We start from the raw sequence: 14,598 nt of genomic DNA, 5'->3' as shown, positions 1-14,598 counted from the left end.
GGCTCACTGCAGCCTTGAACTCCCAGGCTCAAGCCATTTTCCTGCCTCAGCCTCCTTAGTAGCTGGGACTACAGGCGTGTGCCACTGCGCCTGGCCAATTTTTGTATGTTTTGTAGAGACAGGGTTTTGCCATGTTGCTCAGACTGGTCTTGAACTCCTGGGCTCACATAATCTGCACCTTGGACTCCCAAAGTGCTGGGACTACAGGCATGAGCCAACATACCTGGCCTATTCATTTATATATATGTATATATATGTATATATATATATATATATATATATATGAATGAATAATTTTTTTTAAAGTTTACTAGTCTTCTTATCACCTAGAGGAGAGCTATTTACATTTAATTGTGGTCACTCCTGTTTGATTTACAGAACTGGGCTGTGCTATACTTTCCATTTAGGACTCAGCTTTTCTCATATCCTTGCCTATCCTAAATGGTTTTCCATGTACTTTATTTCATTGATTCCAAGATGACATAGTTTTCCTTGCATGTTCTGACATCTCTGAAGCCAGAGTGGGTCATGGAAGCCTTGTAATCAGAGGCATAATTAGAGTTTCACAGGCATTTTTTCCCCTGGCGATACATAAAATCATGCCATGTTTCACGTGTGACAGTCCTTGGATGTGATACAACGTGGCGTTTTATATTCTTGTTTCAATGGCTTTCTGGTGCTTGGAAGTTCTGGAGTTGACCAGACCAAGCCCTTTTGATTGGATGCCCACAGCCCTGCTGTGTAGAAAGCCTACCTTGGTTACCCCCAACACAGGGATAGCCACCCTGAGAGCTGCCTGTCGGCACGACTGGACCCTGCTGGCCGACTTGGAGTGTGGAGCTCACGTGCAGGCTCTCTGTTGACACACACCCTTAGCGAGCCAGCTTATGAGGACAGGCTGCACCGTCTCTGCCCACCCTGGGTGCCCCCAGCCCTCCCTGCTTGATGGCCTCCGTGCCCTCTCTCCCTTGGTTCTGGTCAGTGGCGTTTCCTGGGTCTTCCTGACCGTGCTAGTAATCCTGGGCTGCTGACTCTGCTGAGGGCTCCGATCCCTGATTGACTGATCATTAATTGATACTTACTAGAGGAATACTGTCTTCACAGAGCCTCCTGGTGCTGGGTCCTGGGGAAGCTCTTGTAGCTTCGACCCCGAGTTCTGCCGGGCACCATCCCAGTTTCCGTGCAAAGGGCCTTTGCTCCAAGACATAATGACCACCTTTAATTAAGTTCTAAGATGCTTATTGGTAGAAATAATCAGTCCAAAATAAAAGTGACTGTTAATAAAGCTGTACCCAATCACATTATTGACTAAAGTGGATGAAAAGTCAAACCTCTTGGCGAAATTGAGATTTGCAAAATTTGCTCTGGAAAAAGAAGACTTTTAGCAGCCATGAAAGAACCTCAGGAGGGAGGAAGGTCAGAGGTCTGGGGAAAACCTAGGAATGGAGCCAAGCGCTCAATGTGGTTTTGAAGCAGAAAAGATACTCTTAATAACATAAAAGGGAAAGTTGAAACCTGCAAAATCAAACAATGATATCTCGAAAACCATTCAAGGAATTAATGCACTCGGTAGAGCTCAAATCAAATGGTGCTTTCAATTTCCTTAATGTTGATGAAATTATCACTAAAATGTTGGTGTTCACAGCCCCCCGAGTCCCAGCACCGGGAGCTTTGTGGGGGGTGGGGCGGGGAGGGGCTTCTGCTAACTGTGCTTGGAGAGCTGGAGCCAGGCCTGGGTGGGCGTCCCAGGGTACCCTGATCTGCAGGACCCCCGCAGCAGCCCAGGTGCCCTGGGCTGGGGGATGAGCAGCCCCTCAAGACCCAGGGGAGTAGGGAGGACCCAGCTCCTCCCACCAGCTCCTCTCTGCAGGGACACCCGCACCCCTCTGCCTCTGGATAGAAAGCCTACCTTGGTTACCCCAGCTGACAGGGGACTGCCACTTTGAGAGCTGCTTGTGGGCATGGCTGGACTCTGCTGGCCAACTTGAGTGTGGAGCTCAAGTCCAGGCCCTCCTAGAAGATGGGGCTTCCCTGCATCTCCCTCCTGCCTTCAGAAGACACTGGTCATTGAATCTGGGGTCCACCCTGATCCTGGGTGGCCTCATCTTGAGATCCTTACCTGTTACCCCTTCATCCCCCTCTGTGCCCAGGAGGGTCCCATAGAGGAGCTGGTGGGCAGGGTGGGGTTGGAACTCCTGTGGGGTTCTGTCTGCTCATTCCCTCCACCCCCAGTGCTGAGCCAGCTGGCTTTGCTATGTCAGTGCTAAGCCTCTGGCTTCCATGAGGCCATCAAGGTGGGGATGGTGGTGGCTGAGGACCATTCAGGAAGAGGGTCCCCAGCACCCGGCATGGGGGATGATGCTGGGTTCTGGCAGGGGCCACCGTGGGGTGAGGAGTCAGGGTGGGGGCACCCTCTGGGTGGATGAGGCTCACGGTGAGGGTCTCCCTGTTCCCAGCCTAGGCCTGCGTGGCCACCAGAACGAGGGGCCACTCTGCTCCTGTGGGCTCCCTGGTGTACATCATGCAAGCCCGGGTCTTCTCCCTGAGCCACTGGGCCGTGGTTGTGTCCTGTGTCTTTTCTGCAGCTGGCTTGGGAGTTCGCAGGCAAACCGGCTAGGGGTTTGCAATGGGAAGTAAAACTGGCTGAGGCTTATGCGTGCTCTGGGGACTGGAGCACCTGGGCTGGGCCTCCCAAACCAGCCCCGTGGGTCTTTGTGAGGTCAGAGGGCATTATAGACCCCAGAGAGGTGAAGCAGCTGTGTTCCTGTTGAGCGGGGGGTGGGAAAGGGCTCCCTCCATGCCTCTGACCTTGGGTCACTGAAACCCGACTGGGTTGGAGAAGGGGATTCCAGGGCCCTCTGGTCTGCAGCCCCAGATGCTGGTGTTCCCAACCTCCGTTCCCATCAGAAGCCTGACCAGTTTCTGGGTGCAAAACTGCACGTTGCTCATTCCACTGCCCATGGTGTCTTGGCCACAGGCCGAAGCTTCAGCCCTCATTGGCCGGCTTGAGTCCTGGCCGGGGGTCCCTGGGAGGTCTGCTCTGAGAGTGAGGAACCCTACTCTTAATGGACACTCCTCTGAGATCAAAAGGTTGACTATTCTGTTGGACTGCAGTGATTGTTTCTTGGGGACCGCTTGGTGAATGAAGCCGAGGTGGCCTTGGTCCGTGTTGGGCTAACTAAAAGCGCTCAGCAGCTCCCACCTGGAGAGCTTGGGGCCGCCCGTGATGTGTGCCGGGTGTGGGCCAGTGGAGGCCCCTGCTCCCTCACCTGCGCTCCCAGGCAGGCGTCGCATTGCAAGGCGGCAGACCTGTGGTCACCATTCCTCTCCAAGCACGCCCTCCTGCCTCTGTGCTCACCATCCTCCTGGGCTTCTCCAAGGCCGGCTCGAGCACCCTTCCCATGACGGCCTCCTGCCCCGTTGGCTCTGTCCCCGGGGAGCCTGGCACCAGCCAGTGTGGAGTAGGTGGTCCCTGAGCTTTACTTATGAGAGTTCTTCTTCCCTCAGGGAGGCTGCAGCTCCTCTCTGGGTTCGGGACTCCTGCGTTCCACAAAGGGTATTACAGAGTCAGGCAGACAAAGCGCCACATGCCGGGGCTGGGGGAGGAAAGAGCCTGGCCTGGATACTGGGCACCTCCCTTTTCTGTGCCAGTCAGCAGGGCGTTCACTGACTCCTAGTGAACAGGAAAAGAATGCACTTTACTTCCCGTTTTCTCCGCAGATAAGTCCTTGATCCCCTGGCTTGGGAAATAATTGGCGGCCGCTATTAAGCGGAGACATGATTTGGGGGAGAGGCTTTGAGGAGCCACTTTCATGACTCCTCCCATGCATGTGGGAGTCAGAGGCTCCCGTGGCCGGCACTCAGGGTCAGCCTGCAGGGAGTGAGGCTCCAGTGGGGTCCCCCAGCTCCCCTGGGCCTCTGTCCAGTGTGGAGACCTTGCCAGAGACCAAGGAGCAGGTGGCCAGTGCAGGCAGGAAGATTGAGAATTTAAACTGAGAGATGATGAAAACCCCCACAGATAAGAACTTTCTGGCCCAGCTTGGTCCCGGAGGGCGCCCTGACCTCACAGTGCACCTGCAGCGATGCCTTTGGGAACGCGTTGTCTTGCTGGGATCCGCTGGACTGTCGGCCCCAGCTTGGTTCATTTGCTGCTTTTTCACAGTTCTTTCTCCTGATAGAGAGTGGAACAATGAGCGGTAGCCCCGGGGCAGGGGCGATGGCAAAGAGGATGCCTCAGAGACGAGGGCCTGGCGGTTGTAAGGTTTGGGGGCACCCGTGTTCCCGGCTCTCACTGTGTGCTTTGTGGCTGCCACAGCAAATGACCACAAACTCAGGAGCTTTGGACAACAAACGTGCATTCTCCTCCAGTTCCGGAGGCCAGAGGTCCGAATTCTCAGGGACATCAGGGCTGCAGCCCCTCCCTCCAGAGGCACTAGGGGAGGGTCCCCCTGCCTCCCCCACCTCCTGCGGCTCTGGGCCCTCCTTGGCTGGCCAGCCTCTGCCTTCATCTTCTCAGGGCCTCATCCCTGTGCCTCTCTCCTCTTCTGTCTCTTAAGAGGATGCTGGTCATTGGATTCGGGGCCCACCCTAACCTGGGATGGCCTCTTCTTGAGGTCCTTACCTCAGTTACATCTGCAAAGACCGTTTTCCTAAATCAGGTCACGTTTGGAGGTTCTGGGAGTCAGGACAAGATAGGGGACGTGGTGCACAGTCCAGCCTCTGCACTGCTTACTCTTTCTTCCGTCCAGACGGTCACGGGGTGCTTGGTGCCTCTGTGCCCTGGGCTCCCTGGTAGGGAGGGGCAGGGGTCAGAGCCTGCCCTGAAAGCTCAGGCCTGCAGCAGAATGGGGTGTGAAAGGGGTGGTGAGAGGAACAGCTTGAGAGGTGGTCACCCTGGGAAGGAGCAGTCTGGCGCAGAGGGTGGGCAGGAGCTTGGGGAGGTCACCGTTGGGGAAGCCCGGAGCGGAGGCCTGAGTGAGGTGGGTCGGGGTGCAGGGCCTGGGTCTGTGCCTCCCAGCTGTGCCTCTCTTGTGGCTTCCGTGCAGCAGCTGCCCCAGGTGACAGCCAGGGGCTTGGCCCAGCAGGTTCTGAGCATCTCTCCTGCAGCCTGGGGTTGAGGACTGTTGGTGGCAGTGGGACCATCTCTAGTGCCTATGGATTTGCCATTTTCAGTAGCTGTCAGCATGGAGGAGAGCTCAGTCAGGAACCCCATCATCTGGGGCTGTCTCTGCTGCAAGCCCTGCCTGGGCCTGGGCCCCTGGGGCTGTGGCCGGTGCAGTGGCCTGTGCTGTTTCTCGGCACCTCTCACTTCCCTGGGAGGCCCCCACCGCCTCCTCCAAAAATAACACCTGGGGCGGGGCAGGGAGCACCTCGCAGGCCTGGCCTGGGAACCTCGGGTTGTGACTGTCTCTTCCTGTGGGCAGGGCCCAGGGCTTTCTTCCTGGTGCCTGGAGCCTGGCACAAAGTAGGACCAGACACAAGATTGAGGAATGAATGAATGAAGGATGAATGGATGAATGCAGGTGGTGATGGAGCTGTGCTCTGCAGCATCCTTGTTGGCTCCACTGAAGGGGTGGGTTGCCCCTCCACACCTGTGGGTGTTTCTCGTAAGGTGGAACGAGAGACTTGGAAAAGAAAAAGACACAGATACAAAGTATAGAGAAAGAAATAAGGGGGCCCGGGGAACCAGCGTTCAGCATATGGAGGATCCCGCCAGCCTCTGAGTTCCCTTTAGTATTTATTGGTCATTCGTGGGTGTTTCTCCGAGAGGGGGATGTGTCAGGGTCACAAGACAATAGTGGGGAGAGGGTCAGCAGACAAACACGTGAACAAAGATCTTTGCATCATAGACAAGGTAAAGGATTAAGTGCTGTGCTTTTAGATATGCATACACATAAACATCTCAATGCTTTACAAAGCAGTATTGCTGCCCGCAGGTCCCACCTCCAGCCCTAAGGCGGTTTTTCCCTATCTCAGTAGATGGAACGTACAATCCGGTTTTATACCGAGACATTCCATTGCCCAGGGACAGGCAGGAGACAGATGCCTTCCTCTTGTCTCAACTGCAAGAGGCATGCCTTCCTCTTTTACTAATCCTCCTCAGCACAGACCCTTTACGGGTGTCGGGCTGGGGGACGGTCAGGTCTTTCCCTTCCCACGAGGCCATATTTCAGACTATCACATGGGGAGAAACCTTGGACAATACCTGGCTTTCCTAGGCAGAGGTCCCTGCGGCCTTCCGCAGTGTTTGTGTCCCTGGGTACTTGAGATTAGGGAGTGGTGATGACTCTTAACGAGCATGCTGCCTTCAAGCATCTGTTTAACAAAGCACATCCTGCACCGCCCTTAATCCATTTAACCCTGAGTTTGACACAGCACATGTTTCAGAGAGCACGGGGTTGGGGGTAAGGTCACAGAATCTCAAGGCAGAAGAATTTTTCTTAGTACATAACAAAATGGAGTCTTCCATGTCTACTTCTTTCTACACAGATACAGTGACACTCTGATCTCTCTTGCTTTTCCCCACACTCCACCATTTTTACTTGGTGGAGCTCATCTTGGCCATAGGCTCTCGGGTTGTGACAGTCACTTGGAGTGGCCCAGGCAGGGTGTCCCGGCTGAGGTGGGGCCAGCTGTGACGGTGACAGCGGGTGCAGGGAACTCAACATTCCTCCATTTCCTGCTCTGCCCACGGGGATGACGTCCCTCTTGCCCTGGAAGGTACCAGGCCCGCATGTCCCTGGCCTCCCCTCCTCGCCCTGCCCTGCAGCCGGGGAGGCAGGGAGCTGGGACACCTGTGCTGTCAGCGAAGGGGCACCAGGACGCAATATGCCATATTATTCCCAGTAGTCAAATATGTAGAAAACACCACACACACATAAAAAACCCCTAAAAACCCAGAGTCAAGAGACGACAGAAAAACGCCCTCAGTGGTTAGTGGTGTTTTAGGATGGGAGTTCTTGTCGGTTTCATGTTATTCTACTTCCCTGCCCTCATCCAGGCAGGGTTATTTCTATACTGGGAGAAAAAAACAAACCCGTTTCATCCCAGGGAGCAGCGTCCTGGGCACACATCCTTCCCTGGTGAAATGAGACCGGACCTGCAGCAGCTGGTACAGGGGAGGCCCGTAACTGCCAGGCCGAGCCTCAGTTTCCCCACCTGGTAAAGCAGGGACGATCATCCTAACCGGGAGAGCACCAGAGGGTAGGCTTGCACAGAGTGAGGAACCAGAGAGACACTGGTGGCGTTGGAGAGAGTCCTGGGTACCCCGGGCAGGTGGGGAGCTGGGTGGGGAGCTGGGCAGGTGGGTGGGTGCTGCAGTCTGCCCTTTTTGTGACTGCAAACAGGTGCGCCCAGGACTGGAGTTCAGCTCCCTGCTGAAGTACCAGCTCTGGCCCAGCTTTCCTGCTTGAGGACGGCCGGGTTTCCTGCCTGGCCTGTCCCCCACAGAGGGCTCTGTCCCAGGCCCTGGCAGGGGCAGCCTCCCTCCCACTGGGCTCCCGCCTGGGTGGGGGCGGAAGGCGAGGCTGCAGCTGCAGCATTCCTGACCTTGGCTGGCCCAGCTGTTGGCCTGGCAGCAGGGAATCCCCCTCCCGCTCCCTCGCCCCCTGGTGCTCTGCCCACCAGCCGAGGGGCCTGGTGCTGGTTCGCCTGGAATTTCCAGAAAGTACAGCTTCTCAGTTGATCTTCGCATTTTCTGACTTCTCAGGAACTAACTGGCTGCGTGCTTTTTATACATTCCCAGGACTCCCTCCTCCCTAACCCAACCCAAAGCTGAGATAACTTTTTAAGAAATTCTAAAAGTAATGTCTACTCGTTGGAAAAAAAACAAAACGAAACAAAACAAAGCAAAAGAAGAAACAACTCAGAAAGGTAGAAAGACAGAGTACCCTAGACACCCTTTCCCCACCAGGCCCCCAGACCCGCTGGGCCCAACCCCACAGCTGAGAACCAGAGACCCTCCCCAGGGGCTTGGGCTGAGGGTCACAGGGTAGGGAGGGGCTGCAGGGCCCAGGGGAGGCTGGGTAGACGAGGGGATCATGGCACCTCTGGAGATCATCGAGTTCCTGACTTGCAGACCTGTTTTTAATTGTCAGAACCCCCTTCCCTCCCTCTCTCCCTGTGAACCAGTGAGGAAGCTCCCTCCTTCTCAGGAATCCAGGGAATTCATTCAGAGCCACTGGGTTGGGGAAACTGAGGCTCCAGGAGGGTCAGCGACTTGTCCAGCGTCACCTGGGAAGCTGTGCTTTGTGCCTCCTGGCCCCGTGGGCTCCAGGTCTTGACTCTGCGAGTAAGCAGGGAAGGAGCAGATGGGCAGTGAGGTGCTGGCTGCCCGTCTGAGAGCTCCCCGGAGCGGGGGCCTCCAGCAGGGGCCGTGCCTTTGTGCTGAGCGGAAGCGGCAGGAACTGAGCTTCACGGAGCAGCCTGAGCTGGAGGGTTTAGAGGGCTCCCCTCGGGCTGGGGGAGGCCAGAGCTGTGGGGAGGAGTGGGGAGGAGTAGGAGTGGGAGTGGAGTGCAAGTGGGGGGGTGGGGAGGAACGTGGGGGGGGCGTTGGGGGGAGTGGGAAGCAGCGTGGGGGGAGTGGGAAGCAGCGTGGGGGGAGTGTGGGGGAGTGGGGAGGAGCTTTGGGGGGAATGGGGAGCAGCATGGGGTGAGTGGGGATAGTTGGAGGAGCGTGGTGGGGAGGGGGGAGGAGTGGGGGTGTGGGGAGGATCATGGGGGGAGTGGGGAGAAAGGAGGTGGGGAGGACCGTGGGGAGTGGGGAGGAGCATGTGGGGAATGGGGAGGAGCTTGGGGGGCATTGGAGGGACTGAGGAGCATGGGGAGAGTTGGGGCAGCATGGCAGGGGGAGTGGGGAGTATGGGGAGAGTGGGGAGAAGCAGGGGGGTGGGGAGGAGTGTGGGGAGTGGGGAGGAGCGTGGGCGGGGAGTAAGGAGGAGTGTGGGGACCGTGCTTCCGACTCAGCTTCCGCAGCCAGGAGCCTCGCCTTGGCATCGGGTATGGGGCCACACTCCCTGGCTGGGCTTGTGGAGGGTGGCATGACTATGTTGCTCCCTGTGGGGTCCCCAGAATCTGGGTGATTGAAGGTTTAGGACCTGAAGGGGCAGGAGCTCCCCACAGGAAGCAGAGTCTGGCTGGAAATGGCCTGGTCAGGTTCTGCCCTTCCTGTACCCTTGGCCGAGCCTGGAGGCGACCTCACCGCTGCCTCCCATCTGCAGGGGTGCCCTAGTTTCTCATGGTGTGGGTGTCTGTGGGGTAGCCGGAGGAAGGAGTGTCTGCCTTCCTTTTTCCTCACCTCAGTGCACTTGCATTCATTGCACGCAAACAGCAGTATAATGAAAACGAAGTACATTTAAACAACAGGAAAAATCTGTTTACATCTTACCCTCCACCTGTTTGGAGTTCAGAATGATTTATCTCGGTCCTTGCCCTCCTGCAGATGTATTTTTGCTTAGCTTTATTTATCGTAATGCAGACACACACTGCACATACATACACTGGTACATACATCATGAGCATGCACACATACATGTGCACACACATGAACACATGCACGCCTGTACACCCCTAAGCACCTGCGCACCCCCACATGTATGTGCATGGGCACCCCACACGCATACACATGAGGACACACACATCACAGACCTTGCCCTGCTCGAGCATCAGCAGCATCCCCCGCCCGCCCCACAGGTGTGTGGCACATGTAAGTGCTTGGCTGCAGTGCCACAGCTCCCGCTCCCCCCAGCCTCCCATGGCTGGACCTGCGATGCCTTCTCCGGAAGCCTTCAGGCGTGCGTGGATTTCACTCAGATTCACTGCGCACTTGCGATGTGCTGCTGCGGCACTGAGTACTTTGGGTCCTTTCCAGCACCAGGCGAGAAAGCTCCTTGAAGTGCAGGCATCTCTCCTGTTGGGCGTCTCACGCGCACTTGCTCCTCCTTGTGCCTTGCCGCCCCATGGTGACAGAACTGATTTGGCAGCCTGGGCCATGCATGCAGGGCCGCAGGCCCTCAGCAGGTGCTGGTGGGCGGATGGACAGATGGGCAGATGGACAGAGGGACACCAGGCACATGCCGCTTCTCAGAAATCCCTGGAAATGACTGGGATGGTAACAGAACATCACAATTGACTCTTTCTTCTCGAAATGATGGGTGCTAACCACGGAGTGATTCCCCAGCAGCAGACAGGCGCAGTGCTTTCGGTGACGGTTTCGGCCGTGTTTGTTGCACGTTGAGAAGGGTGTTTTACATCCCATGGCGTGTATAGTGCTGGGATCTTAAGAATGTCACACATGTGCAGTGGGTTGTCCCACATGTGGAGCCACCTGCCTGTGCAAGGGGTGGTGGGAGGCGCTGCCTGTCAGGTGCTGGCTGTAGCCTCTGGCAAGCAGTGGGTTTTTCTGCAGAGGGAGGACACCTAGGGATGGAGGCCCACAGGTCTTGGTTTTGGGGTACTCGGGCCAGGTGCCTTCTTTGGAGACAGGGAGGCAGCTGTTGGACATGCAGGCCTGGGAGCCGGGGTCATGGGAGCTGGGTTTCCCAGGGTGGGTGTGGGGGACCTTCAGGATTTGAACCTGCATCTCCCTGCCGGAAAGGTGCCCCACCCTGTGCCTGAGCCCCCTGTCCCCACTCAAGGGTGTCTGAAGCTGGGCCCCATGGTGGTCAGAGGGAACTGGGTCTGAGGTTCCACACAAGTGCTTCCTGACTTCCCACCCTGCCAGGGTCCCTCTGGGGACTTTGCTTCCCAAAGAGCCCTGAATTGAGCCTGGGGGTCAAAACCACATTTTCAGAGGGCCCCAGTGTGCCAGGCCCAGGGTCCAGGGTCTCCCAGCTCCGAGCCGGGGTGCAGGGCATTGCAAAACCCATGCTGGCATGAACGGGAACAAAGGGTGGAAGAAACCAGGAGAACTCTTGCCTCAGTTTCTCATCCAAGCCCTATTCATTCCATTGTGTGCCCATTCATCCCAAAGCCATTCCAAGTGCCTGTTGTGGTGGGCTTGGGGGGCACAGCGCCAAGGGCACAGGACTGCCTGCCACCAGCTGGCCACCGGAGTTGCCCAACAAAGAACCACAGGCCAGCGCCTTCCAGCAGCAGCCCTGGAGGCCGCGAGCCTGAAACCAAGGTGTCAGCAGGGCTGTGCTCCCTCTGGAAGCTCTAGGTGTTGGCAGGGCTGTGCTGCCTCTGGAGGTTCTAGATGTTGGCAGGCTGTGCTCCCTCCAGGTTCTAGGTGTCAGTGGGGCCGTGCTCCCTCCAGGTTCTAGGTGTCCCGGGGGCCATGCTCCCTCCAGGTTCTAGGTGTCCCGGGGGCCATGCTCCCTCCAGGTTCTAGGTGTCCCGGGGGCCATGCTCCCTCCAGGTTCTAGGTGTCCCGGGGGCCATGCTCCCTCCAGGTTCTAGGTGTCAGTGGGGCCATGCTCCCTCCAGGTTCTAGGTGTCCCGGGGGCCATGCTCCCTCCAGGTTCTAGGTGTCAGTGGGGCTGTGCAACCTCTGCAGGCTCTAGGAGAGGCTCCATCCTGCCTTTTCAAGATTCTGGTGGCCCCAGGCACTCCTTGGCTTGTGGCTGCATCATGCCAATCTGTGCCTCTGTCGTCACACGGCCTCTTGTCTTCTGTCTTCTCTTCTAGGGACACTTGGATTTAGGGCCTACTGGGTAATCTGGGATTATCTTATCTCGAGAGCCTCAGGTTTGTTTTTTTTTTCCCCGAGACAGAGTCTTGCTCTTTTGCCCAGGCTGGAGTGCAATGGTGCGATCTCGGCTCCCTGCAACCTCCGCCTCCTGGGTTCAAGTAATTCTCCTGCCTCAGCCTCCCGAGTAGCTGGGATTACAGGTGCGTGCCACCATGCCTGGCTAATTTTTTGTATCTTTAGTAGAGATGGGGTTTCACCACGTTGGCCAGGCTGTTCTCGAACTCCTGACCTCATGATCTGCTTGCCTCGGCCTCCCAAAGTGCTGGGACTATAGACGTGAGCCACCGCACCCGGCCTTGAGAGCATCAATTTAATTTTACCTGCAAACACTGTTTTTCCAAGTAAGGTCACAAATAGGCTTCTCAGGGTCTGGATGCAGACCTGTCTCCTTGGGGCCCACCCATTCAACCCATTACACTTGCTGTTATGGACTGAATGTTTGTGTCTCCCCAAAATTCCTATGTTGAAACCCTACCCCAAAATGTGACGTTATTAGGAGCTGGGGCCTTTTGAGGTAATTGGGTTTAGATGAGGTCGTAAGAGCGGACCCTTCATGAATAGGATGGTCCCTTTTAAGAGTACCAAAAGGGACTGCTTCTCTCTACTCTCTGTGGATGTAAGGGTACATCTCTGCTGTGTAATGGTACAAGGAGAAGCCACTGGAACCTGACCACGCTGGCACTGGGCTTCCAGGCTCTGGAGCTACAAGAAAGAAGCCCCTGGGTTTACAAGCTTCCCGGGCTGTGGGATTTTGCTGTAGCATCCTGAGCAGCTGCCTAAGACTCCAAGCAGATAACTACGCTTCCTGAAGCCTCACTCTGCCCATCTGTAAAATGGGGAAACCGCCTCTGCTTTGAGGATCCTATTCCTGCAGCAGAGCCGAGCAGCCTAAAAGCCCTGTCCCCAGCACAAGGTGAGTGACCCACCCGTGGTCTGGTGTCAGCTGCTGTGGGTATGACTGCCACCCCTGCTTGACAGGTGAGGAAACTGAGGCTCTGAGAGGTGAAGGGCAGGTCCCGGGGGTCCAGGCTGAGAGGGGTTCTAGTCTAGCGCTCCCAGCTCCCACATATGGGCCTCACGAAGCACAGGGACTGCTGAGGAGGAGGTGCCACATTGGGTCCAGCTGGGGTTGCCTGGCGGGTGACGGCCACTCACCAGTGGGTGGGGCTTTGTAGGCACCTGCAGGAGAGGCTCCAGCAGGAGCTCCAAATGGGGACATGGCGGGCATGAGGGACACTTTTCAGGCTGAAAGCCCCACAGTCCCTGTTCTACTCCTGCTCTGACCCTGCTGGGTGCCAGCTCTTGTTCTCCAGCCCCCGTAGTTGCCCGTTTGGCAATTGACTAAGAAGAGTTTTTGACACTTTGCTGTCGCATGGCTGGCTTGTGGCCTTCTGCAGGGGAAGAGGCCGCCTCCCACCTTGCTGCCTCCATAGCCAAGGGCTGTGCCTGCCTTTGGTTTCTGATCATAGAAGGAGGCTCAGTTTTACCCCCCTGCTTGGGAAGCTCTCTAGTGCTGCGGTTGCATTTTTCCTTCAATATTTTTAGCCCAGCAGGAAGGGATAATAGCGAGAATCGTTCCTTCAGACTGGAGAGCGATCATCCGGTGTCTGCTGGCTGTGAAGGGATCCATTTGGCTTTCATTTTAGTGGGTGGTGGGGGAACGGGAAGAATCGCGCCCTCTGCTTGGGTCCGTCTGGAGTTGGATTGTCCAATTGCGCTGGAGATAGGGCGCTCCAGAGAGCGTGCGAATGCCCTCATGTTGACCTCGGAGGCCGCTTTCCGGAAGGGGGAAGAAATGGAGAAAATGAGGTGGCAGAGACAAGAGCCCGTTTCACAGATGGCTTGTGGGCTGCAGCAGAGAGGAGGGGCTGAGGTCCTATGAGAGCAACCCGGAGGGCCGAGGCGCAGGCGTGCGTCTGGGCTAATTGCTCAGAGCCAGGTGGCCAGAGAGTAGGATTTGAACCCTCCGGCACTCGGAAGCCGGCTCAGGGAAGATGGTTATAAAGAGAAATACTAGAAAAGCAATTTACTGCTAGCTTTATAGAAAACCTTTGGTTTGACCCTGACCTTGAAGTCCCGATTGTGTGGGCCACTCTTTATACCCCCCGCCTTGGCTTAAACCCACCGTCGGCAGCAGAGGTGGGTCCTTGGAGGGCTTCAGGGGAGCAGGCGTGGAAAGCTGAGACCTCTCTCAGCTGCTGGCTCTGAACACGCACGGCTGGGCGGCGGCCTAGCATGCAGTAGGTGCCTCTTATTCGGTGTCTGACTGTGGACTGGAGGCGGGTGCAGAGTTGAATAGGAGCCTCCCAGCTGCCCACCTGCTCCACTCAGACTTCCAAATGAGGCTTCTCCAGAATTGATTTTTCTTGCTGGGTTTCCTCTCGAGTGCTGCTGAGGAAGGACTTGACCGTCAGGATGGAGAGGGGCAATGCTGCAGCTTGGCCTGGCCCTGCCTGCCTGTGCCAGGGGTTGCTGGGCAGCCAGAGTGTCTCTCTTTTCTTGAGATCTTGACTTTTCAGCCTTTGAGAACCCACTCCTCATGGCTCAGGGGCTGTGGACAGACAGACCCTGGCAGCGGGTGGGAGCCCCAGCACTGGGGTTCCTGGACTTCACGGCTGCTGGTCCTTGCTGGTTCTCACCGGCTGGGCGCTTGAAGTTTGCAGCAGAGCTCGTTTGGAAATCAGGCTGCACAGGAGCAGACTGTGAGAAAAGCTGAGCGTGAAACCCCTAAACAGCAGGAGACGCCCGGGTCGGGGGCAGGTGTTCTGCCTCTCTGGGACCTCCTGGCCTTGAGCCACAAAGCAACCTTGCCCCATCCCTTTTTGGGGAAGATCCTGGGATTCTGGACCCAGGGCTGCCTGCGTGCTGCAGGTTGGAGTTTGGGGTCTGAGCTCTGGTAGCAGACATTT

The 14,598-nt window shown here is 56.7% G+C and overlaps 1 protein-coding gene across 9 annotated transcripts in view, besides 12 other annotated features; it reads left to right on the top strand.

Moving 5' to 3' along the window:
- Positions 1-14,598, top strand: part of VAV2 (vav guanine nucleotide exchange factor 2) — a 230,431-nt gene that overhangs the window by 28,018 nt on the left and 187,815 nt on the right. The gene's annotated exons all lie outside the window — the stretch shown is intronic.
- Positions 2,707-2,776: an enhancer, noted in NCBI's record as "active region_29263". NCBI's record gives its function as "activates an Ori minimal core promoter by ATAC-STARR-seq in GM12878 lymphoblastoid cells {active_cell/tissue: GM12878}" and the evidence as "EXISTENCE:reporter gene assay evidence [ECO:0000049][PMID:35858748]".
- Positions 2,807-2,856: an enhancer, noted in NCBI's record as "active region_29262". NCBI's record gives its function as "activates an Ori minimal core promoter by ATAC-STARR-seq in GM12878 lymphoblastoid cells {active_cell/tissue: GM12878}" and the evidence as "EXISTENCE:reporter gene assay evidence [ECO:0000049][PMID:35858748]".
- Positions 3,069-3,646: an enhancer, noted in NCBI's record as "H3K27ac-H3K4me1 hESC enhancer chr9:136825783-136826360 (GRCh37/hg19 assembly coordinates)". NCBI's record gives its function as "activates a minimal SCP1, AML or CMV promoter by ChIP-STARR-seq in naive H9 embryonic stem cells {active_cell/tissue: H9 hESC(naive)}" and the evidence as "EXISTENCE:reporter gene assay evidence [ECO:0000049][PMID:30033119]".
- Positions 3,647-4,222: an enhancer, noted in NCBI's record as "H3K27ac-H3K4me1 hESC enhancer chr9:136825207-136825782 (GRCh37/hg19 assembly coordinates)". NCBI's record gives its function as "activates a minimal SCP1, AML or CMV promoter by ChIP-STARR-seq in naive H9 embryonic stem cells {active_cell/tissue: H9 hESC(naive)}" and the evidence as "EXISTENCE:reporter gene assay evidence [ECO:0000049][PMID:30033119]".
- Positions 4,801-5,377: an enhancer, noted in NCBI's record as "H3K27ac-H3K4me1 hESC enhancer chr9:136824052-136824628 (GRCh37/hg19 assembly coordinates)". NCBI's record gives its function as "activates a minimal SCP1, AML or CMV promoter by ChIP-STARR-seq in naive and primed H9 embryonic stem cells {active_cell/tissue: H9 hESC(naive and primed)}" and the evidence as "EXISTENCE:reporter gene assay evidence [ECO:0000049][PMID:30033119]".
- Positions 5,378-5,955: an enhancer, noted in NCBI's record as "NANOG-H3K27ac-H3K4me1 hESC enhancer chr9:136823474-136824051 (GRCh37/hg19 assembly coordinates)". NCBI's record gives its function as "activates a minimal SCP1, AML or CMV promoter by ChIP-STARR-seq in primed H9 embryonic stem cells {active_cell/tissue: H9 hESC(primed)}" and the evidence as "EXISTENCE:reporter gene assay evidence [ECO:0000049][PMID:30033119]".
- Positions 5,956-6,532: an enhancer, noted in NCBI's record as "OCT4-NANOG-H3K27ac-H3K4me1 hESC enhancer chr9:136822897-136823473 (GRCh37/hg19 assembly coordinates)". NCBI's record gives its function as "activates a minimal SCP1, AML or CMV promoter by ChIP-STARR-seq in naive and primed H9 embryonic stem cells {active_cell/tissue: H9 hESC(naive and primed)}" and the evidence as "EXISTENCE:reporter gene assay evidence [ECO:0000049][PMID:30033119]".
- Positions 6,533-7,109: an enhancer, noted in NCBI's record as "H3K27ac-H3K4me1 hESC enhancer chr9:136822320-136822896 (GRCh37/hg19 assembly coordinates)". NCBI's record gives its function as "activates a minimal SCP1, AML or CMV promoter by ChIP-STARR-seq in naive H9 embryonic stem cells {active_cell/tissue: H9 hESC(naive)}" and the evidence as "EXISTENCE:reporter gene assay evidence [ECO:0000049][PMID:30033119]".
- Positions 6,719-6,768: an enhancer, noted in NCBI's record as "active region_29261". NCBI's record gives its function as "activates an Ori minimal core promoter by ATAC-STARR-seq in GM12878 lymphoblastoid cells {active_cell/tissue: GM12878}" and the evidence as "EXISTENCE:reporter gene assay evidence [ECO:0000049][PMID:35858748]".
- Positions 6,819-6,928: an enhancer, noted in NCBI's record as "active region_29260". NCBI's record gives its function as "activates an Ori minimal core promoter by ATAC-STARR-seq in GM12878 lymphoblastoid cells {active_cell/tissue: GM12878}" and the evidence as "EXISTENCE:reporter gene assay evidence [ECO:0000049][PMID:35858748]".
- Positions 9,816-10,105: an enhancer, noted in NCBI's record as "active region_29259". NCBI's record gives its function as "activates an Ori minimal core promoter by ATAC-STARR-seq in GM12878 lymphoblastoid cells {active_cell/tissue: GM12878}" and the evidence as "EXISTENCE:reporter gene assay evidence [ECO:0000049][PMID:35858748]".
- Positions 13,876-14,386: an enhancer, noted in NCBI's record as "H3K4me1 hESC enhancer chr9:136815043-136815553 (GRCh37/hg19 assembly coordinates)". NCBI's record gives its function as "activates a minimal SCP1, AML or CMV promoter by ChIP-STARR-seq in primed H9 embryonic stem cells {active_cell/tissue: H9 hESC(primed)}" and the evidence as "EXISTENCE:reporter gene assay evidence [ECO:0000049][PMID:30033119]".

Source organism: Homo sapiens, chromosome 9 (genome assembly GCF_000001405.40).
Source record: "Homo sapiens chromosome 9, GRCh38.p14 Primary Assembly".
NCBI lineage: Eukaryota > Metazoa > Chordata > Mammalia > Primates > Hominidae > Homo > Homo sapiens.
Note: the sequence above shows the minus strand (reverse complement) of the source record. Positions and strands in the feature narration are given on the sequence as shown.